The sequence below is a fragment of the Homo sapiens genome, chromosome 9, assembly GCF_000001405.40.
Source record: "Homo sapiens chromosome 9, GRCh38.p14 Primary Assembly".
Classification (NCBI taxonomy): Eukaryota; Metazoa; Chordata; class Mammalia; order Primates; family Hominidae; genus Homo; species Homo sapiens.
The window spans coordinates 103951880-103976633 of record NC_000009.12 but is presented as its reverse complement, the minus strand read 5'-3'; the positions used below and the strand labels follow the sequence as shown (position 1 = coordinate 103976633).

Here is a 24754-nt window from a genome sequence, read left to right as displayed (position 1 = left end):
TACAGACATTAATGTTTAACAACTGAGTTTTGTGGAAGATGATATGATATGATGTATGCGAAACTTTCACTGTATAAATTGATATAGGAATTTATAGGAGAGGAAGCAGCAGGGAACAGACATGGTCACTTTGTGTAACCATCTTTCTAGGGCCTTCCTAAAGGATACGAAATTGCTAAACTGTCCAAAGCCTGAGATAGTCACTGGGACTCATTTTACTGGGGTGTCGGGTTACTATATGTAAAACATAGTCTCAAATTCCACTTCTTTTCTCATACTCCTTAAATCTATTTGGTAAGTGTACCTGGCAGGGCTTACCTCAGCAGGCCCAGCAGTTATCTGGCTCTCTGTGTTCTGACAGCAATTAAAGTAGGTAAAGTGAGTCCCTTCTACATCCACAGTGGTGGCCATTTTGGATTCAGAGAAACAGATCAAGGGAAGTTCCATATATTCTTCAAGGCCTAACCCTTTCCCATCAGCGGAGCTAACTGAAGAATCCCTGAATTTGTAAGAATCAGTAATTACCTAGTGGTCAATAAGCTTATTTTTCATTACCTATTTTGCTATAGTTGCTTTTATATTTAGCCCTTTTGGCAGAATACCCCTGAAGGAAGGCAGAATGATAATAATGTTCTAGCACCAAAGCCACATCCCAAACTTCTAACACTAGGCAGGAAAGAAAAAATCTATTGCTCATGTGCTCTTGGAGATCAACTTGTGGTAGGGGAGATAAATGCCTAAACAAATAGTTATCACATCACTAAAGTAGAGTGATATGGCTATGCAAACTGTATTTAGCTACAATCAGGCCTGGAAAGCTCAGGAAAAATTTGGGAATAGTGTGATGCTCAAGTTGAGTCTTAAAGGATAAGCAGGGGTTAGCTTGTCGGGGGAGATAATTAGAAGTTGTTCTAGGTAGAAGGGACAGCATGAGAAAATGCACAGGGTTGTAGGAATACAAACTGTAAGTTATTTGAAATTGTTGGAGCATGCAGTGCAAGGTAGGGAGTAATGAGAGATGCAGTTGGAACACAAGGAGGGGGATTTATAATGAAGGGTTTATGCCACATTAGGAGCTTGAATTTTATCCTGTAGCCAAAAGGAACTGTTGAAGGGTTATCAGCAGAAACTGTGCATAGTCATATTTGAGTTTTTGAAAACAAATTTTGGCAGCAGTGCCCTTGGTACATTTTGAGAATAATGTGATTAGAAACTAGTTAGGAGCCTCTTACAGTATAGTTTAGGTCAGAAATAGAATTTGAGAACGAATTACACATATAAAATTTTTTAAAGCAGAGGCTCCCTTTTTTGCCATGCTATATGTGTACTGTGTGTATATGGAGTTGTTTTCAAATCAGAGGCATATCTGATTTCTTGGGAAGCTAGATCAGGATATCTTGGTGGGCTGAAGAATGGCTACAGGGACAGCTGTATAGAGTTTGGGAACACTGCAGAAGTATTTCTAATACATGTAATCATTCTGTTGGCCACTTGAAAATCATCTTTTCCATGAGCACTTCAAGTATACTTGGTTGTAAACTGCTAGGTTGAAGATTTCATAGCATTTTATAGCAAAATTCTATCTCACTGTTATTGACATCTTGGAATATGATGAGTTTTTATTATGAAGATAAATAATGGCTTACTTTTTTCTATTAGAGAAAATGAATTGAGACCTTCAGAACAATATTAGCATGATCTTTGTTCACAAGTCTCTCTGCAGTGAATTCTTCGATTAAATGATTAATAATTTCCATTGCTAGTCATCCAAGAGACATCATGCTTGACTACACTTTTAGCATGATATAATCATTACTTATGACCAGGGCTTTCTCCTGCACCAAATAAAATTTATAATGTTTACTTAGCTGTACTCTAGCATGTAGGTAAATTCACAGAGTATGCAAAGGTAAGTGAGAAAGTTGAGTGGCTACTGTCTTCAAAGTGTTCCTCTGAGACAGCCTGATATTTCTTGAGATGTGACATTTCACATTCTGCTTATAAGTGATAACTTAAGCTGCCTTGGTACTTTTCTATGTGTGCTTGCATCATATTACCTGAAAAAAAAAGGAATGTGATTGTACAAAGAAAAACACAACTGCCATATCTTCAGGACTGATGTACATTAAACACTATTTTCAGAAACAGAAAATACAATACTAGTCTGATTTGGAATCAACTTCTATCTAGCTCTGTTATTTCTTGGTGATGTGACCAAGGGCAAATACATAGCTGCTAAGGACCTTGGTTTCCTACTGCAAACTAAGTAATAAAATCTATCTCACATATATCTATCTCTCCGTATATTTATATTTTAGAAATGGGGAGTTATACAATAATCAAAATAAATAAATTATATATTATGGTAGTAATAAGTCCTATACAAATAAAGAAAAATAAAAGAGGCAAAATAGATATTTATTATTGCTTAAAAACTATCCTGAAACTTAGTAGCTTAGAATAAAACATATTTGTTATCTCCCAGTTTCTGTGAGTTAGGAATACAATCACGACTTAGCTGGTTGGTTCTGGCTCAGCGTCTTTCAAGAGATGTCAGTAAAGATATTGATTAGTCCTACAGTCATCTGAAGGCTTGTTTGGAGCTGGAGCATCCCCTTCTAAGTTGGTTCACTCATGTGGCTATTGTCAGGATGCCCAAGTTTCTCATCACATGGACTGCTCTATGGAACTTTTTTGAGTGTTCTTACAACAGAGCAGTTGGCTTTTCCCAAAATAAGTGATCCAAGAGACCACAAAGCCAATCCTTTGTCTGGCCAAATATAAATCCTTGGATTTATACTTCACTTGACTTTTTAACCCAAGCTTTACCCTTGAAGACTATCTTTCAGGTATTTTTTGCCTCCAGACACATATAATACATAGTCTATACTTATACCAGTCAATCTCATTCCTAGCTCTGTATTCCAGAACTCCAGATTAGATTTGGGATGCTAGGTCACAGCTTTTCTGAGAGGGATTTATCAGTACTGTACTGCAGACAATTATCAATAGATTAAATGCTGATGGTATGATATGTTTAATATCAATGACAAAGATGATTCATTGTTAAAATTACACAATTCAAATTAAAATAATTTTCCATTTGTAATACATTAAATTTTGGGATGGATGGAGTGAGAAAGATACTTTCATATTAAGAGAAAACATTAAGGGCCATGAAACTTGGAGAAAAGTTTTCAGGTTGCTACTTGAGCCATTGGAGATGTGAAAGAATGACCAGAGCTGTTGATATTTCCCGGATAATGTTCTAGTTTCTTGCGTTCTGTGTGTTCACTTATGCAGAGTGTTTCTTGGTCTTTCTTTCTTTCTTTCCAGTGGGAAAGAGCATCTCCTAAAAGAAAACTATCCAGAGAAGCTGTGAAGAGAAATTCAAAGGAAGGGTAAACTCTGAGTTTACAGTGTGGCTTCTTGCCATTTTGTATATTGACAGAACACTATAAGCCTTATGTCAATATCCTGTAAAGGATGAGTGTCACAGGAGGCATGAAAAATAAAGCTGAAAGAAATTTGTATAATATCTATAAAAGCACTTCTAACCCTGAGAGAAAGCATTAAAATAAAAGAGAGGGGCTGTATGTTATCTCTGTTTCTGCATAAGAATGCAGAAGAATTCATGAACTCTGCGAATGCAGAAGTTAATGAACATCATGAAAAGAATAAAAGAGGAATGAAAATGCAAACATACAAGTTTGGGATGTTATCACACATTAATCGGAAATGCAAAAATAAATTGACAATACTATGTGTTGGCAAGAACACAATGGGAACTCTCATTCACTACTAGTGGGTGTGTAAATTAATACAAACTGTTTGAAAACAGTTTTAACTTGTCCTTTCAAACTATACTACAAGGCTACAGTAACCAAAACAGCATGGTACTGGTACCAAAACAGACATATAGACCAATGGGGCAGAGCAGAAACCTCAGACATAACACCACACATCTACAACCATCTGATCTTCAACAAACCTGATAAAAACAAGTAATGGGGAAAGGATCTCCTAATCAGTAAATGGTGCTGGGAAAACTGGCTAGTTATATGCGGAAAACTGAAACTGGACCCCTTCCTTACACCTTATACAAAAATTAACTCACAATGCATTACAAACTTAAATATAAAATCCAAAAGCATAAAAACTCTAGAAGAAAACCTAGGCAATACCATTTAGGACAGGCATGGGCAAAGACTTCATGACAAAAACTTCAAAAGCAATTGCAACAAAAGCCCAAATTGACAAATGGGGTCTAATTAAACTAAAGACCTTCTGCACAGCAAAAGAAACTATCATCAGAGTGAACAGGCAACCTACAGATTGGGAGAAAATTTTTGCAATCTACCCATCTGATGAAAGTGTAATATCCAGAATTTACAAGGAACTTAAACATATTTACAAGAAAAAAACAACCCCATCGAAAAGTGGGCACAGGATATGAACAGACACTTCTCAAAAGAAGACATTTATGCAGCCAACAAACATGAAAAAAGCTCAACATCACTGATCATCAGAGAAATGCAAATCAAAACCACAATGAGATACCATCTCACACCAGTCAGAATGGTGATTATTAAAAAGTTAGGAGACAATAGATGCTGGCAAGGCTGTAGAGAAATAGGAATGCTTTTGCACTGTTGGTGGGAATGTAAATTAGTTCAACCATTGTGGAAGACAGCATAGTGATTCCTCAAGGATCTAGAACCAGAAATACCATTTGTTTCAGCAATCCTATTACTGGGAATATACCCAAAGGAATATAAGTCATTCTACACATGCACACGTATGTTTATTGCAGCAATATTTACAATAGCAAAGACATGGAACCAACCCAAATGCCCATCAATGATAGACTGGATAAAGAAAATGTGGTACATATACACCATGGAGCCATAAAAAGGAAGGAGATCATGTCCTTTGCAGGGACATGGATGAAGCTGAAAGCCATCATCCTCAGTAAACAAGCACAGGAACAGAAAACCAAACACTGCATGTTCTCACTCATAAGTGGGAGTTGAATATTGAGAATACATGGACACAGAGAGGGGAACAACGCACAGCAGGGCCTGGTGGGGGATGGGGGGGTGAGGGGAGGGAACTTAGAGGATGGGTCAATAGGTGCAGCAAACCACCATGGCACATGTATACCTATGTAACAAACCTGCCCATTCTGCACATGCATCCTGTTTTTCTTTTTTTTTAGAATAAAGACAAAAAAATCGGTTTTAGCTTGTCTAATCAAATTGAACATATTCATACTCTTATAGAGAAACAAACTCCCAGAGATTCTACTCCAGGAAACTGGAGAACCTTTGAGCTATAGTGCATGTACAAGGATGTCCACAGCATTATTCTTCGTAATATCCAAATGTCCTTTATAACAGAATAGACAAGTATATTGTGACATATTTATATATTGAATACTTTAAAGCAGTGGAAAGTGAGTCAACTACAGCTATGTAAAGCAACACAGATGAGTCTCACAAACATTTGGGTTGCAAAAAGCAAAACATGGCCGTGCACAGTAGCTTACACCTGTAATCCCAACACTTTGGGAGGCCAATATGGGAGTACTGCTTGAGTCCAGGAGTTTGAGATTAACCTAGACAACATAGTGAGAGCTCATATGTACTTAAAAAGAAAAAAAAATTAGCCAGCCATGGTGGTGTGTGCCTGTAGTCTCAGCTACTCAGGAAGCTGAGATGGGAGGATTGCTTGAGCCTGGAAGATGGAGGCTGCAATGAACTATGATCACGTTACTATATTTCAGCCTGGGTGACAGAGCGAGATTGTTAAAAAAAAAAAAAAAAGGCATGAATCCATTTGTAGTTCAAAAACAGACAAAAGATTTACACTTTTAGAGCTGCAATCAGAGTTGGTAAAACTTTAAGGAAAAATCAAGGCTATAGCTATCAACAAAATCACAATGAAAATTACCTCTAACATTTGAGTCAGGGCTTGAGGATTATAATCAGGAATGAGCACATGAAGGTGTTCTAGGAAGGTAGTAATTTTATAATTCTTAATTTGAATGGTGATTAGACAGGTGTTTGCTGAATAATTTTTATTCTACATGTGTTTACTCATCTGTATGTACTTTATATATTATAATTAAAAGAGCAAAAAGATTATGTGGTCATAGTAGGCCATTTGGATGTCAGTCACATACAAGAGGGAGATGGAATAGAAGGAGTATAGAAGATAATTGTCTTCAAACAAAGAAGAAATTATGTGTGTATATTAGTTCGTTTTCACACTGCTATGAAGATATTGCCTGAGACTGGGTAATTTATAAAGAAAGAAAGTTTAATTGACTCACAGTTCCACATGGCTGGGGAGGCCTCAGGAAACTTACAGTCATGGCAGAAGGCGAAGGGAAAGCAAGGCACATCTTACATGGCAGGAGGTGAGAGAGGGGAAGGTGGGGGGAACTGACAAACACTTTTAAAGCATCAGGTCTCCTGAGAACTCACTCACTATCATGAGAACAGCATGGGGGAGACCGTCCCCATGATCCAGTCACCCTCCCACCAGCTCCTTCCCTCAACACATAAGGATTACAATTCAGATTAGAATTTAAGATGAGATTTGGGTGTGATACAGCAACCATATCAGTGTGTGTGTGAGAAATGATACTGCTTTGATTTGAGAGTCAAATTTGAGAATGGGACTGTTTTGGTATTTTTAAAGGGGAATGTTTATTTCATTCTTCTGATGTTTCCTTCCATGTGGAGGGACATCCATTAGTGTGCCAACCCTATTAAGTATGTACTCTCCATTATTCTCCCCCTGGGCAATTAGAAGGGTAGAGAGGAAAATGACATACTTTTCTGATGAGTTTTGAAGAAAAATGAAGGCATTGATAGGTCAGACACCCTCTCTTTTTTTTCTGTAGTTAGTGAGCTAATTTCAGGGAATACACATTAATTTCTGCTCTTTTAGATAGAAGTACCTATGTGTGAGGTTTGCTCCAGTCTACTGTTAATTGTAAATGGGTGGGCAAGTCTTTCATTCAGGAGTTATAAATAAGGAGGCTTACTTGCTTATAAAGAAAGCTACATTCTCAAATTTCTGCTTTGCTAGTAATAACATCAGTGATTTGATATTTATCTGCTGATTTCTAAACTTATTTTTTGGTTAATTCAAAACCTAAGTGGAGAAAAACCCTTGTTTCTACCATACACATCTCTCCCAATGATGGTCTTGGGTTAGATAGCCATGTCAATTCATTTTGATGAGGTCTATATTCAGCTCCTAACTTGTCCTGCTCTAGTATTTGAATGGCACTATGGTTCTCCCTGTGGCTTAGATGTTTAAATGTAATTTCATCTTCCTTCTTGTTCTTCAGATCAGGACTAAAGTAGAACTGTATGCTACAGCCAACCATACAGTTATGGATACATTTTGGAAGTAGGCCCTCAAGATTTCATAACAGCAATGACAAATGTGGAAAACAAAAGCAAAGCTAATTCCAGGATGTGTCCATGGGAAAAACAATGTAGAAGTAAGGAACAGTAATGCAAAAAACATGAAACAATGTCACAAATCCAGAAACTGTTATATCAACTTCTAACGAACACCATCATTATGATAGGCCTTTACTATAATACAACAGAATAAGATTAGAGCTCACATATCTTTAATTGCATGAACCAAAGGGCATATGGTAACTATTATATAAGTACAGGCCAGGATAAAGAGAGCATGTATTATACAATGAACACTCTAATGGCCCCAATAAAATAATTATTGTTTATAATAAAATGTTATTAGTAGTAACATTTGTAAGTGCTCTATGAATAGGTAGCTGTTACTGCTAGCTATTAAGGGTACTGATGGTGTCAGGAATCAAAGTGAGAAACAGAAGAGGATTATGAAAACCCAAAGAAAGAGCTAAGATCTATTTGTTTCCATATAGCTATACCTTCCTTACTATTTCATTTTCCCTCTAGGCTGCTTAATTCTTTCATGTCTGCTTAGAAGAAATTTGTGGTCTGCAGGGCCAATAAAGATAGTTCCCTCACATGGTTGGACCTATGACATTACTCTTTAAGAAACAGACAATGGTAGTAAAAATAGATAAAATAGAGAAAAAGAGGAGTTTTTCTGTAGTTGTGAAATAAAGATGCACCTGAGGCTTTGTGATGACTCTCAGCTCTCCTTCAAGATCAAGATCACATTCTAAATTCAGAATGAAGGGAAGCACATCCAGCGTGGAATTTGGGATGTCACCAGAAAAAAGATGACTGTCTTTCACAAGGCTTCACAAGGCATCATTTATCTTGGTGCATTTGTCAAGGTCCGGGGTATGATCTTCGGCCTTGCAATCTCAGAAACCTGAATTTTCTTTTCAATGCAAGTAGAATCACAGTAACTAAATTCACCAAACTGATGTATGAAACCAGAATGCTAATATATTAACTTAAATAGGAAAAAAAACCTTTTGCATAAATTGGCATTTTTATATTGGTATTTCTAGAATGTGCTCTCAAGCAGACAAGTCAAAGTCTGTGGAATGCTTGGTAAGCATAGAAGCAGAACAAACCCACCATCGTCTCTCGCTTCCACATTTTCAGTAAACTTTAAATCTAGGCTCACATATACTCTCTCCTCCTTCTTAATCCATTCCCAGAATGAAGCCAGAGTTATCTTTTTTTCAAAAATGCAAAACTGCACAGTTTTGTCGCCACGTAAAACTCTTCAGTTATTTGCCATTGCAGGCAGAAAACCTAAACTCTTTATGCTGCCTGAAAATCTCCACATATTATGACTGCATTTACCCTGGGAGGATTTAATATGAGGTGCCTGAGTTTTACAGCAATACTTTCAGATATAAAAACACGATTTTTAAAATTTCTGTCAGAAAGATATTTTTGTTGTGACTCTGAAACTATCCAGCTCATATTTCCCCTTTCCTTGTAGAAAACATTGTTTTCATAATTTCTTTTTAATAATACAGGTTTATTTTTGGCAGAACAACTTATAACAATCAATTGGGAACTAAAGACAAAAACCATGATTATCTCAATAAATGCAGAAAAGGCCTTCAATAAAATTCAACGCCCTTTCATGTTAAAAACTCTCAATAAAGTAAGTATTGAAGGAACATACCTCATAATAATAAGAGCCATCTATGACAAACTGACAGCCAACATTATACTGAATGGGCAAAAGATGGGAGCATTCTCCTTAAAAACCTGCACAAGACAATGATGTCCTCTCTCACCACTCCTATTCAACATGGTATTGGAAGTTCTAGCCAGAGCAATCAAGCAAGTGAAAGAAATAAGGGGCGGGGACATAGGAAGAAAGAAAGTCAAACTCTCTGTTTGCAGATGAGATAATTCTATAGCTAGAAAACCCCACAGTCTCAGCCCAAAAGCTCCTTCAGCTAATAAACAACTTCAGCAAAGTTTCAGGATAAAAGTTAATGTACAAGGGTCACTAACACTCCTATACACCACCAACAGCCAAGCCAAGAGCCAAATCAGAAAGGCAATTCCATTCACAGTTGCCTAGGAATACAAGTAACCTGGGAGGCAAAAGATCTCTACAATGAGAATTACAAAACACTGCTCAAAGAAATCAGAGAACACACATACAAGTTGAAAAACATCCCATGCTCATGGATATGAAGCATCAATATCATTAAAATGGCCATACTGCTGAAAGCAATTTACAGATTCAATGCTATTCCTATCAAACTACCAATGATATTCTTTACAGAACTAGAATAATCTACTTAAAAATTCATATACAACCAAAAAAGAGCCCAAGGCAATCCTAAGCAAAAAGAACTAAGCTGGAGGCATCATGTTACCCAACTTCAAACTATACTACAGGGCCACAGTAACCAAAACAGCATGATCCTGGTACAAAAACAGGCACATAGACCATTGGAACAGAATAGAGAGCCCAGAAATAAGGCTGTGCACCTGCAACCACCTGATATTTGACAAAAACAAGCAATGAGGAAAAGATTCCCTATTCAATAAATGATGCTGGGATAACTGGCTAGCCATATGCAGAAGGTTGAAGCTGGACCCCTTCCAAGCACCATATACAAAAACCAACTAAAGATAGATTAAAGACTTAACTGTAAAACTCCAAACTGTAAAAGCCCTAGAAAACAACCTAGGCAATACCATCCTGGAAATAGAAACAGGCAAAGATTTCATGACAAAGACATGAAAAGCAATCACAACAAAAGCAAAATTTAATGAATGGGATCTAACTAAACTTAAGAGCTTCTGCAAAGCAAAAGAAACTATCAACAGAATAAACAGACAACCTACAGAATGGGGAAAAATATTTGCCAACTATGCATTTAACAAATATCTAATACCCAGCACTATAAGGAATTTAAATTTACAAGAAAAAACCAACCCCATTAAAAAGTGGGCAAAGGACATGAACAGACACTTTTCGAAAGAAGACATATATGTGGCCAAGAAGCATATGTAAAAAAGCTCAATATCACTAATCATTAGAGAAATGCAAATCAAAGCCACAATGAGATACCATGTCACATCAGTCAGCATGACTATTATTGAAAAATCAAAAAACAACAGATGCTGGTCAGGCTGCAGAGAAAAGGGAACACTTATGAACTCTTAGTGGGAGTGTAAACTAATTCAACCAACTTGGAAAGCAGTATGATGATTCCTCAAAGAACTAAAAGCAGAACTATCATTTGACCCAGCAATCCTATTACTGGGTATATACCCAAAGGAATATAAATTGTTCTATTATATAAGAAACATTCACACGAATGTTTATTGCAGCACTTTTCACAATAGCAAAGACATGGAATCAACCTAAATGCCCATCAATGACAGATTGGATAAACAAAATGTGGTACATGTGCATGACGGAATACTATGTGTCTGTGAAAAAGAATGAGATCATGTCTTTTGTGGGAACATGGATGGAGCTGGAGGCTATTATCCTCAGCAAACTAACACAGGAACAGAAAACCAAATACTGCATATTCTCACTTATATGTGGGAGCTAAATGATGAGAACTTATCAACACAAAGGGAACAGCAGATACTGGGGTCTACTTAAGGGTGGAGGATGGGAGAAGGGAGAGGAGCAGAAAAGATAACTACTGTACTGGGCTTAATACCTGGATGAGGAAATAATATGTACAACAAACCTCCATGACACAAGTTTACCTATGTAACAAACCTTCACATGTACCCCCAAACCTAAAATAAAAGTTAAAATAAAATGAATTGGTGTTAAAATGGTCATGATCACTGACTATTAAGGTCTTATTGAAACAACCTGACCTTCATTCACAGGGATTTAGAGTTAGAGGACCTATGTTTACTTGTTCATTTAATGTTTATTAAGTATCATATAAATATGAGTTAGTGTCTTAGATATGGATTAAAAAGCAGCAACAAGACAGATTTCCTGCTCTTTCACGGAGCTTAATTTTTGGTTAAGGGGGAAGCAGAAAACAAGAAAAATATTAAATAGATCCGAGATGCGTGACAAAAGTTAAAAGAGAGTGAAGGAATCCAGAATGATTATATGGTAAAGAATGAGAGAGAAACCTTAGACACTATGATTGGCAAAATAAGATCCAAGAGAAAACATATAATTAACATTTGAAAATTTCCCTCTGGCTTAGAGAAAGGCTTAATAATTTATGCATAAAATATTACAAAGAGCCTGGGCTTCATTTATTTAAATACTGATATGTTAGGTTTCATTTGGGACCTCTGATTCTGTATTACCTGATAGGATTCCAAATATGTTCTTTTGTGTATACACAGTGTAAGGGGCATCAAACTGGTTCAGAAAAGTATGCACATTTTAATATATTATTGAGGACTGCAAAGGATGCTTGAATGTGGTTTATAGGAACCATTTGCTTGCTATTAAATACTTTAGTGGGTCTGATTATTTTCTTAGAAAACAGTTTTGTCCTCTCAGCCAGCTGCTTTACCAGATAAACTATGAGGATTGCTAAAAGGCCTAGGGAGTATTTCTGAAGGTACAGTTAACTGGAAGATAGCACTTTTATGGAGATACATTAAAACTTGTACCTAATCTATTAAGAAATGCCAAGCTACCTTAGGTGCTGAAATAAAATGCTCAGAAGAGATCATTTCAGTTTAATCTTTTTTGAAACTTGATCTGAGAAGGATAAGGTAAGGCAGAAGCCAATGTGGTGAATGCTTCATGGAAAAATCAACTAAGACAGCGTATATTGAGCATGAGAAACATGGTTGAACAGCTCTATTCTCCAATCTTGATTTCCAGAAAATCTATTCACAATGATGTTATCTCCTAAAGCAATTAGAAAGAGAAACAACTGAGACGAAATACTCAACATTTGGATGAAAAATAAAAAGAAAGAGTCATGTCTTTGGAAATTTGGACTGCAACAACATTTACCTCAGTGGTTGTATTTGAAAAAAATTATATAATAATAGGACCTTAAAAGAAAATCAGAGAATTAGAAATATCAAATAATGGCAAGTGTTTAGATGTCTTAAGATGGCAACTGTTAAGATTGAGTCATTTCTAGTGGCTAGAGACCTAGCTGTAGGGCCAGAACACACCTATTCTTAAATTCTTTTCTCAACATTTATTACCTCTGTTTGTTTGGTAAGTTACATTCTGTATCATACTTATAAATATTTATTTATGTAGATATAGATAACCTTAGCTAATAAATGAAATTTGCTGTGTGCTATCTATGAAACAATACTCATATTTTGCAGGTGAGGAAACTGAAGATTATAGCTGTTATGAATGTTGTGAATGCTCAGGGTGTGTGTTAACAAATGGAAGAGCTAGTATTTGAAATTACGTCTGTCTGAAACCGAAATCTGAGCTTCTAACCCCTAGGTACTACAGACTCAAAAGGTCATTATAAGATTAATTGGAATTATGCTGGGACCGATGCCAAACATATCTAAACACGCAACATAAATGTAGCAATTATAAGTTTTCATAGAATCTTCAATTGTGCAAGGAAAATATTTGTTTCATTTCCATTTAAGTAATTACAATTTAAATCCTCATCTTGTCTTGCCAGCCAGAAATTCAGTCTGATTCATGATTTAGGCTGAACCCTTCCGGCATTATATTAAGATTTTATTCTAGGTCCTATGCTGTGCCAAAGAATTAGAGCAAGCCCCTCTGCTTTTTAGGACTTGGCCCATATTGGTTTTGGCTGAAAAGCCCCTTGTTTCTCCTAGTGTTATTACTTGAGGTTCAGTAGTTCTAATATGTTTGAGGCATGCACATGTTTTGTTGAGTCTAAGGAGATTCTACTGTCCTTATTCATTCATTTTATATTTATTAAGTACCCTTTCAATATCAAGCACCCTCCTAGATATTGAGGAACAAGCAGCAACAAAACAAATGTATTTTCTGCTCTCTGCTTAGGGTCCAGCCTCTCTTGGTATGTCATGAAGTCTGATAACCTGTGGAATCCTGTTGCCTCTTAACAGGATGCTAAGAGTGGCACATTCCAGTCAGAGGTAAATTTATCATGAAGCTAAAGAAATGGGATTCAGGGCCCCTTCCAAGACTTTGAGATGGGCTTTAAGAGTCTGTTTTTGTTTGCTTTGTTTTGTTTGATTTTGCAAAGATAAGGTATTTGAGCTATAGTCAGTTAGACTTTTCCTTTTTAGCTCTAACCTCTTTGTGGTTTTATGATCCTGCCAAAGGGAAGTTGAATTTACTATTAATATTAAGTTGTTAGGTGTGCTAGCTTTATGGTGGTTATATGAAAAATACCTTTTTATTTGTTAAAGTTGTGTCTTCAGCATTCATAAGGGACATAATAATTCCTCCCCCTCTCTGAAAAAAAAAAAAGCTATAATGAAACAAGTGCTAACGTGATGTTTATAATTGCTGAAGCTGGGTGATGTATACTTAGAGGTTCATTATATTCTTTTCTTTTTTCTTTTATATGTTTGAACATTTCCAAAATAAAAAGTTAAAAATACCCAAACCCAGGATAAATCTAACTGTGGTATTTTTTTCATGTATTTTTTACATAAGTTGGTAAGTTATTTAATGTATAGTCTCCAGTTTCTTATCCATTTTTTCCCAGAAATATTTGTATTAGATCCTGGATTTGCTTTTTTTTTAAATTAAATTTATTGTGTTTTTAAGAATAGCACATTTAATTTATAAATTAAATCAAAATATTTATCAAATTGTATCATTTTTCTCTATCTTTTTACTTTATGTTCTTGGGGTTTCTCAAGTCTGTTCATCATGTTACTGATTTTGTTTTCTGCAATTCAATTTTCCTACTGATTACACTCCATCACAAATTGATATTTCGTTCTTGAATTTGGGGTTCCTTGTATTTTAAACTTTTATTATTATAATGAGCTCATTTTGTTTTTTAGCCTATACTTCTCTTGATTGACTTCCAACTTGTAACTCTGTTCCTTTTTCATAAGGCTATATTTTCTTGCAGTTTTTAAAATTAACAAATCAGGCAACTTATTGTCTCTTTATTTTAGAAACTGGAAGAGGCATGTATGAAACAGTATCTTTTATTATGTTTAATATTTCTTCATAGGTGTATTATGCCTCTCCAAAAGGAAGCAATGTTCTCCAAGTAGGTGGGTTTTTTCCCCTGACTGTGTGAAGATCTATAAAAATCTCCATCAATATTATTCTACAGAATCCCAATTGTGAAAATGCAGGCTAAACATTTTTGATTTTTTTTCTGCCCTTAATCAGAGGGAAGGTGGTAAATTTATGCTGTGGATCTTGTGTGTGTTTTCACCATTACTTAGTTCCATAAAATATTATTTAGCATCTATAATGGACCAAGCACTGTGCTGGCTCTGGGGATACAAAGATGAATACTTCTAAGCTTTAAGGGACTCCATGGGATAATAAACACATAAACACAGGTGTTTCTGGTAATGGAGAAATAAAGGTGTATACAACTGTCACTAATAGCACTGACCTAAAGCCTACAAAAAATCCACTAACAGAAGTCTTTCAAGAGTAGTAGCACAATTACTAAGTGATTTGTTTTAAAATATAAAAGCCAAGTGTTCTCTTTATAAGTTAAATTTTTTGTTCATTTGTTTGTTTATGTTTTTGGAGTTTTTTTGGTAACCCTGAGGAAAAAAAGAATAAATCCTATTTTGCCAAAATGTTTCAAAACCCCTTAACATGTATTAAAATGAATGGTTGTTTTAACTTAGAAAAAAAATTCTGGTTCAATACTAAACTTCTTTAAGATTTACTGAGGGTGTTTAATATTAGAACAACTGTTTTGGTTCATTACATTTTTTAAGAGGTTCTAAACTCGAATCAGTGAAAACTCACTCAAGCTTCTAACTGCAAAAGCGGGCTATTTTAAAGTAATGTGAAAACTTTACAATTTTACAATTTTAAAGCTCTTCTTCATATAAATTTTTGTGGATGCCTCTGAAGTTTTGCATTTCCCTAATGAGATAATACTTACAAATAGGCTAAAAACTCTATAAGATTTAAAGACTAATACACATGAGTTTTATAAGTCTAAACTTGGTTTGTACTTAGCATTTTAGAGATAATATTTAAAAGTAATAAAAAGGCTAATTTTTTTAAGAGCTTTATGCTTTAGTGTTTTCTTTTGTTCTTTATTGTAATAATTCTTATGTTAGTATTTCCAACAAAGAAGTGATTTAAAAAACTAGTATTATGTGAATATTCTTAACTGACAGTTGAACAACAGTTTGAACTGCAAAGGTCCACCTGATTTTTTTCTGCCTCTGCTACCTCTGAAACAGCAAGATCAGCCCTTGCTCTTCCTTCTGCTCCTACTCAACATGAAGGCACAAAGACGAAGACTTTATAATGATCCATTTTTACTTAATAAGCAGTAAGTATATTTTCTCTTTCTTATGATTTTCTTAACAACATTTTCTTTTGTCTAGCTTATTTTACTGTAAGAATATAGTACATAATACACATAACATACAAAACATGTGTGAATTGGCTGTTTATCGGTAATGCTTCCTGTCAAACAGTAGGCTGTTAGTAATTAAGTTATAAAGGAGTCAAATGCTATACACAAATTTTTGACTGATCAGGGGTTCATACCTCTATTGCTTGTGTTGTCCAAGAGTTAACTGTATAATGAGATATTACACAATTGGCAAGGAAATATTGAATAGTCCCATAAAAAATGATCAAAGAAAGTGAAGAGGAAGTTCATAAAACATAAACTAAAGTTGACAATATAAATGTAAAACGCTGAAAAGCTGAACCTCCACAGTAACACCCTCACCAAACCATGGATCAAAAATATTCCAAAAGAAAACCCAATAAGAAATAACAACACAACAATAAAATATAATACACATAAAAAATACAACATAACAAATATTTACTTAGCATTTACATTGTATTAGGTACTATAAGTAATCTAGACATGATTTAAAGTATACAGGAGGATGTGTGTGGATTATATGAAAATACTACACCATTTTGTATAAAGGATTTGAGTATCATGGATTTTTGTATTCACAGGGGTCCTAGAGCCAATATCTTATAGGAACCAAAGGATAACTGTAATTTATTTTCAAGTTATATAATGATATGAATATTAATTTCAAATATACAGTTAGGAACCCCTTGGGAGTTACCACATAGTCCTGCAAATATTTTATATAGGTGCTGAGGGGCACAAAGCAGATGTCACCATGTATACTTCATTGATTCTCCAAATTCAAACTTAATGTTTCAATCTCATGCCTTGGGTAAACGTGGGTGGTCTCCTGGTCTCTTCTGGAAGGACTTAAAGCTTAAGATTGTAGTGGCAGCACTGGCCACAGAAACAGTGCAGTATCCATGAAGCTAAGTGTTGATTGTCAAACCAAATGCAGAAATAAATACAATTGCGTTTGAAACATGTAATTGTTATATAAACACAAAATATATTATCATAGTTTGAAGGTATGTAAAGGAGTCTTGTTAGTAGAAAAGTCATCAAAGAATTAATGCTATTCAGAGTGTTCCTAGCTTTGATCCTAGCCACAGTATCACAACTCTTAGCCTATTGTTAGTAGATGCTCTCTTGAAGGCAAATTTTGGGAACAGTAATTTTCAGGCTCTAATACAAAGAGCAAACATCAATTGAACTCTTCCTCTAAGTGCTTAAGGGCATTAATTCTGTTGAGCCTTACAACAGATTTTTGTTTTCATCACTACACATGTGGGAACGGAGAATTAGAAAGGATAAATAACTTGCTGAGAGTTACACTCTTGTGAGTTTTAAATCCAAGAATTGAACTCCAGCAACAATTAGGCTATCATTCATTTGTGGAATGGTTGATTTCACTGAAGAAATGAAATATTAAATATTTAGAATTTGATAACCACTTCTCCCGTGTCTTATGCTCCTAGTATTGTTCACCGAGTCTATAACCACTCCAATACCCTACTTAACATATTCTAAATCTGCTAATTCATATATGTTTTATTCTTATCATTTCTATGTTATGAAATAATTTGGCAGAATTAAACATATTCAGCAGTCCTGGAACATGAGAATTAAGATACTCTGAAGTGGATAAAATAGATAAACCAGCAGATAATGGTACATTCATTTATCCCTCTGGTTTATAGTATTTTGAATGGCTTCATGATTTTGCAGCTTTTTCAAATATGTTTCCAAATACAACAGTTCACAAGTTCTGCACTTCCACTTTCAACTCAGAAAACTTGATAACTCACTGTTTTTGGTCCCTTGAATCCAAATGTGGCTACTATATTTTAAAGAAAATAATACTGCACTATTTTCTCTATAGAGTGTTCCTCTACTCTAGGATAGGGTGGGTTGAAGAGCACAAAGTATATTTTATAATTCTGAACTATTCCACTAATCATTAATACGAGCATGCAATTAATGCATAAATTCAAGAGGAGAGTCTCTCTCCCATCTTTGCTAGTAGAAGACATGTGGAAGAGCATAAAGGCGGGGAGTCTCTTGGTGGTGTGAAACACCAATTTTAAGAATACCTGGCAGTATTTCCGATAGAAAATCATACGACAGTATGGAATAGTGGAAACCCTGGAGAATCTGTAGTTCAAAGATGAGGTTAAAATTCCATCTCTGACATGTATAGGTTATGTTATCCTGGGAAGTGGAATAGATGTCAGTTTTCTCACCTACAATAATAGGGCCAGTAAAATCTAATTCTACAGAGATATTTTGAGGTTTAAATGAATTCATGTATTAGAATGCTTGCACATGCCTAGAACACAGTACACCATCAGTATATGATAGCTTTCATATGCACTCTTACATTACTCATTTGGAGATAATGATACTTACCTTACAGGTTATAATTAGAATTAGATGAGTATCTATGCAGATGTAATTTATCACTCTGTACCAATTAAGCTTCTAGATGGATCACTTTGTTCTTGGTTAGCCTAGTTTAACCCTTTGTAGAAACATTAATTCACTTATAAAATTCAGTTGCAGAATTTACATATTCCCACATAGTAGTCTACCTATCTGCTCTAACTGCATTTCCCATATTTTTTGTAACAGACAAGTTTTATTTATACAGTCTCTCACAAATAATAATAAAGGTCATTTCGAGGTGGAAAAAAAAAAAAAGTCCTCATCCTAGGAAATTTGGCCACAAAAGGGAAGTAAAAGAACTTGCTCAAGAAATCCAACAGCATCTTTCTTTGTTCAATTTCTCCTTTGTATTTTCCCCCTCACCTTCTTAGTTCTGCTTGGCATCTTGTCTTGCAGGCTTCCTAATTCTAAAAATATCCGCATAGGCTCTATACTTGGAAAGCTTAATGAAGTCAACCATTTTTTGATATCAGAGTGGCATCTGCAGGGTGAGGCAAGTGATGCCTTGGCTCTGTGTTCGATTCCAGGTCTGTCCTTATGGATTGTAAAGCAATAATTGTTCACTGCGGCTCTACACTAATGTACTTACTTAATCACTCAGAAGGAATTATCTGTGGTCACAGTAAGACAGCTGGGAATAAAAGCTGGCACAACACCTAATGGCCAAAGAGACCCTGCTCAGGTCCTGCTGTCTCGGGGAATTCCTCATTTAGACTGCCTGCTTTAAGCTTACAGAATTCCTCTGTAGTCTACCTGTTTTGTTACTCCTCCATTCCAAAATAACTAGAGATTCTTCTAGAAAATGTACTCTCTTTGTACTTGCTTGAAGTTTAAGCTGTAGGCTTCACAGATTTAATCAATTATTTTCAAGGTTAACTTATTATTTTATTTAACTAATATGTATCTTGGGCCATGTATATCATGCATTCTTTTAAGCACTGATTATGGCTTCTAATAAGGACTCTCTTCCTAAGCACCTTGCAGTGTACTAGGTTGTTTTGTGCTGCTAATATTTCGAGGTGTATGAATGTCTCGATATTTGAAAAGCTACTGATTCTTCTTTCCTACAGAATTGAGTCCAAACCTCACAACATCCAAAGCTGTATGGATTAGGGTCCTCATAGGAAGATGGCATACCCAAAACAATTGACAAAGATGTGTGTGGGAAGGGTAAAAGGAAATTCACAAGTGATGGCAAAGGCTTAGGCTCACCCAATCTTTGGATTGGGTGAGAACTTTAGCTGTAGGAGAGTCAGCGCCCTTGAAGATGAGTACTTTGCTAGTTAAATGGCTGAGATTGAGCCTGGAAAGCAAAAAGCCAATGAAACAAAAGTGTCAGCTTCTTGTTTTTGCCTTCTAATCTTCATCTGGCCCACCCATTGGCAGAACCCAATAGGAAACAGAGGAAAAGGGGACACTCAACCTCCTGGAAGATATATCAGGGTATATTAGGGTAGAGAGTAGATCAGGAAGGGTGCAAGCAGAATGTTCTGTGCAAATGACACTCCAAATCTGTCCCCCATTGCCATTTATTAGAGTTCTAGCCCTCTATTTCTGTTTCTGTTTGCTACTATTTCAATTCCTGTAAATGTAGCTAATTATGGAACTAAAATTCCCTTTCACAGAAAGCATTCAACATTAAATTAGTAAATTTTTTTTGAGTTTATACTATGTGCCAGATCTATTTCGAGCAGCTGGAAATGCTCTCTGTCATTTAGGAACGTACGTTTTTGTGAGTGATATCTTTACAAAGACAGCATAGTGCAGTTCATAATCAGATATTACATATGAACCAAGAAGACTTCTTTCTGTTTTAGGTAAAGCAGGATATAATAAAAAAGGGTTTGTCTGCAGGCAAACTAATTACAGCTTTTTCTTTTCTCAGGTGAGGCACTGAAGGCAGGCTCCCACTAGTCTTTAATGGAAATATTACAAAGTAGAAGGTATTCAAAACTTTTGTGATCCAGAACTGTACGGTATTTCACTGTTTTGTTCCCTCTTCCCTATCCTTGTTTTTAATTATATAAATCATTTATTGGAATGGAACTGTCCAAATCCCTGGGTACCATATTCTTCTAGCTGTAATTCTGTAGTGTTGGTTTACGGTTGAGAAAGGAGTGACATGTGGCAAATGACCAAAAATCACCCGGGCCTACAAGATTCAATTGCTCAAGAGTCCTTTGACACACCAGCTTAAAAGAAGAAAATAGGCCTATACTGAGAATAAAAGAAACTAATAGAAATGCCGTGTCCCAACTGTTTCAAAATATGTGTCTATTCAACTCTGTAGGGAGGTTCTCAGAGCCATGCCAACACTGAGCTTTTTAGTGCTTTCTTCCTTAAGCCTCCTAAATACAAAAAAAATTACATAGGTAAAAAAATACCCAAAATATCCTCTATGTATCCAAATCATTTAATACTTTTTGTCATACACATTGGTAATTCTGTCACTTTTATCATGTCTCTTATTCTCTCCTTTCAGAATTAAGTTTTCTTATACTGAAATATTCCCCATCCAGCCAGGCGTGGTGGTTCACATGCCAGCACTTTGAGAGGCTGAGGTGGGAGAATCACTTGAGTCCAGGAGTTTGAGATCGGCCTGGGCAACAAAGTGAGACCTCGTCTCTACAAAAAATAAAAAATTAGCCAATCATGTTGGTGCAGGCCTGTAGTCCCAGCTACTTAGGAGGCTGAGGTGGAAGGGTTGCTTGAGCCTGGTTTGCTGAGGCTTCAGTGATCCATGATTGTGACATTTCACTCCAGCTCCAGCCTGAGCAACAGAGTAAGATACTTTCTCAAAAAAAAAAAAAAAAAAAAAAAAGGAAAAAGGAAAGAAAAAGAAAAAAGAAAAAAAAAAAAGTCCCTACCCTGGGTCCCTGGGTGTAGCTTACCTTTATCATAGTCCCAGCTCCCTGTTTTAGTTACTTCTATCATAACACTAATTTTCGGAGTGCTTTTTAAGGGAAGCAAATGAGTAAAAAAGAAACAAATACTTAGCTTTATGTTTAGAATTGTTAAATGATTTGGTTGTCAAGGTTTGTGTGTATCTGTTTTGTATATTTAATGTTCAGATGTCTTTATAATTCTAAAGGTAAGAAAGTGAAGGAGCAACAAGAGCTAATTTTGAGACCCATGTTGATGACACTCCGTGTCCTGGGATAACTTTCAGCTAAAGAAACATCAAAAATCTAAACTAATTTCCCTCTATTAATCCAGAAATCTTCTACATATAATTTAAAACTCTTATTATAAAACTCACTCAAATAGACAGAAATGTCTTTTTCTCTATCTTTCAAATAGAGAGAAATGTCTTTACACTACTAATTACTGAATAGTACTTATCAGATTACTCAGTGCAATGGTTAATTTTATCTGTCAATTTGACTGGGCCATGGGGTGCCCAGATATTTGACCATGCTTTATTCTAGGTGTTTCTATGGGGATGCTTTTGGATGAGATTAACATTTAAATCAATAGACTGAATGAGGCAGATTGGCCTCCATGATATGGGTGGGCTCCTCTAATCAGATGAAGGCTTTGATATAACAAAAGTCTGACTGTCCCCAGAGTAGAAATAATTTTTCCTTCCTGATTGCCTTCAAATTGGAACACCAGCTTTCTTCTTGCCTTTGGACTCAAACTGAAACCTTGGCTCTTGCTGGGTCTTGAGCCTGCCAGCCTTTCAACTGAGACTACACCCTTAACTCTCTTGGTTCTTAAGCTTTTGTACTCGGGCTGGCTCTCTTGGGTTTCTGTCTTGTCCACTCACTCTGTAATCTTGGGACTTGCCAGCTTCGTGTGAGTCAATTCTTTATTATAAATTATATATGTATTTGCATACACACACCCATACCAACCCTCCTCCTTCTCCTCCAGATCCCTTATTGGTTTTGTTTTTTTCTGCAGACTTTTAATATATTTGGCCTTCCAGGCCAATAATATAGCCAAATCATGATGATATATGCTTGCAACCAGTTGTTAAAATAAGTAGTTTTACCTCAGTCTCTTAAATTGTCTTTAAGTTTAAAATATTTTAAAATGTGTTGGCTGGTGAGATGTCTAAGGGAACTGTTTGACTGCCCTCTCTTGACTCAAACAGATTTGGCCACATCTATAGCACAGCACTTTTCTAAATGTACTTCTAAATATGAGATTTTCTTCCAAAAGGGTTTTGAAACGGATCTGGAAGGCAGAATCCAAGAACTTTTCATTTGCTTGTTTGATTGTTCTTTTCATTGTTTTGCTCTTAGTCATTTCTTTTTTAGCTCTAAAACTTCTGATGATTTTCGCTTAAAATTTGCATGATTGGCTTTTAAATGTTGTTGAAAGAAGAGTTTCATGCAGTAATTGTTCAGTTTCTTTTTTCACACAAAAGATACTGAAATTTAGACTAATTTGCATCTCTCCAATAAAAAAGCCCATACTTTAAATAAACATCTAAGTATATCATATTTTTTTTTACATTGATGACTGCTGCTTAGTACTGAGTTGCTAATTGTGGCTGAGAAGGGCTATCATCTTTGCTTTTAAGTTTTTGTGTGTGAAGCCTCAGGGACTAGACACAAGTGCCATATTTTCTAATCTGTTGCTACAAATAAATTATTTTTACTTTTTTGGCTTTCATGATAAAACCATGACCTTGGTTGCCTGAGAAAAGCAAGGTTCTGCTAGCTTTGTTTGCACATGTATGGGGTGAAACCTTTGAAGCATACAGAACATAAAACTTATTTTATCCCAAATTGTAAGTAAAATGTTCACCTCTTGAAACTGCACCATGTGTATCCCTAGCTTTCACTTATGTCCCAGCACACCAACCCCATGCGGTATATGAACCCTGCTGAGAAGACTGGTTTAGCTCCTCCCTTCCCTAATCTGGTCCTCCCCACATTGAATTTCTCAAATGGCAATTTAAGTGATTTTTTTTTTCTTGAATGTAACTCTTATAACACTTCATTGCTTAAAATACCTTAAATGAGTTCTGATATCTCTCTGTTTACTGCCACAATATAAGCCAAAACTGTGAAACCCAATTTACCTAGCTTCTGAGGGTCTATCACTCATTGGTCTCTGTCCACCTCTTCAATCTCAGCACTTACTTTTTCTTCATGTTCATCATAAAGGTTTCTCAGATCCCTGAACCTGTCATCTGCTTTTCCTCTGAGAATTTCTATTTGAGAAATTCCATGATTATAGTTTTTCCTCTGGATCTTTTCCTGTGCTGTGTCCTCTGGCCAAATCACCGTCCCAGGACTTCTCACTCCTCTCTTGTGTTAGTTATTCCCTCTTGACCCTTCAGGCCTGGAAAGATTTCCCCACCTTACCAACTCAAGGTCAGTTTTCAACTTCTGTCTCCCCTGAGACATAAATATCTAAACATAATCTCTACTTTCTCATTGCAACGCTTGTCACATCTTTTTAATTTCCTGATTGTTTGTTCTTTCTGTGACTTTCCAAAGGCAGAGATATACCCTGTCTTTTTTTTTTTGGCCTTATTTTTAGTCTTGAATATAGTGCCTTTTATACTGTTGGGAATCAGTAAATAGTTGTATCAATGAATGATCACTGGAATAGGCAACCACCAGTCAAAAGTCAACCGAGAGTCAACATTATAAGAGCAAAATCATACCTTACCCAAGGCTTAACTCTTTCAATGTGTTTTTCATTTTATAATTTGCCCCTGCCATCCAGGTGGGACCAGTAAGTATGTATCTCAGTGGAGCTTTGTAACAGACTCCAATGTGAGGTTGATTGTATAGGAGGTAGTAATCTTTCCCGATACGCATGCATTTTCCTCAGGGGACTTCTATAGTCCTTCTCACACTATACTGTAATCATCCTTTCTCTCAATAGTCTGTAAGCATTTTAAGGGCAGCAAGCTGTCTGATTTCCAGTGTTGAACCCCTAGTCTACCATAAAGTACATTTAATGAATTAAAACTTTATTCCATCTTGTGGGAACCTGGTTCTCAAAATCATGGAATAACATATTTGAATTCTACAACTGCTAAATTGCTATGGAGGCATAAAAGAGTAGACATCAGAATTTTGGACTCAAAATTTGATCTGAACCAGATTTTTTTATTCTCTCCAATCTTTTAATAGTAATCTGACTCTCCTTATTTTAAAAGACACAGCAGACTGTCAAGAACTATTTGAGAAATTCCATGATTACATTTGATGAAAAGGTCAACCTGTAGGCTTACATGACAGGGAATCTTAGATCTCATCTTCTCTAAAAGAGATGACTCAGGGCAAAATGATATTGTAGAAGAGAGACAAGTAGTTGAGTAGTCTCTTTTCTGAGTTTGGACTATGAGTGTATTTTTATTATGGTAGATAATTTTATTTCTTCTTTTTGCTTTTTATTGAGATAACACATATG

General features: G+C 35.7%; 1 long non-coding RNA gene across 3 annotated transcripts in view; it reads left to right on the top strand.

Annotated features, from left to right (window-relative positions):
* LOC105376193 (uncharacterized) overlaps positions 1-20319 on the top strand; it is a 45342-nt gene extending 25023 nt beyond the window's left edge. For all 3 annotated transcript variants that reach the window (XR_930195.2, XR_930194.2, XR_930196.2), the window contains 3 exons: positions 13426-13520; positions 15723-15880; positions 20259-20319. This is a non-coding gene — a long non-coding RNA (uncharacterized LOC105376193). The remainder of the gene's footprint in view (positions 1-13425; positions 13521-15722; positions 15881-20258) is intronic.
* Positions 20320-24754: the final 4435 nt, after the last annotated feature.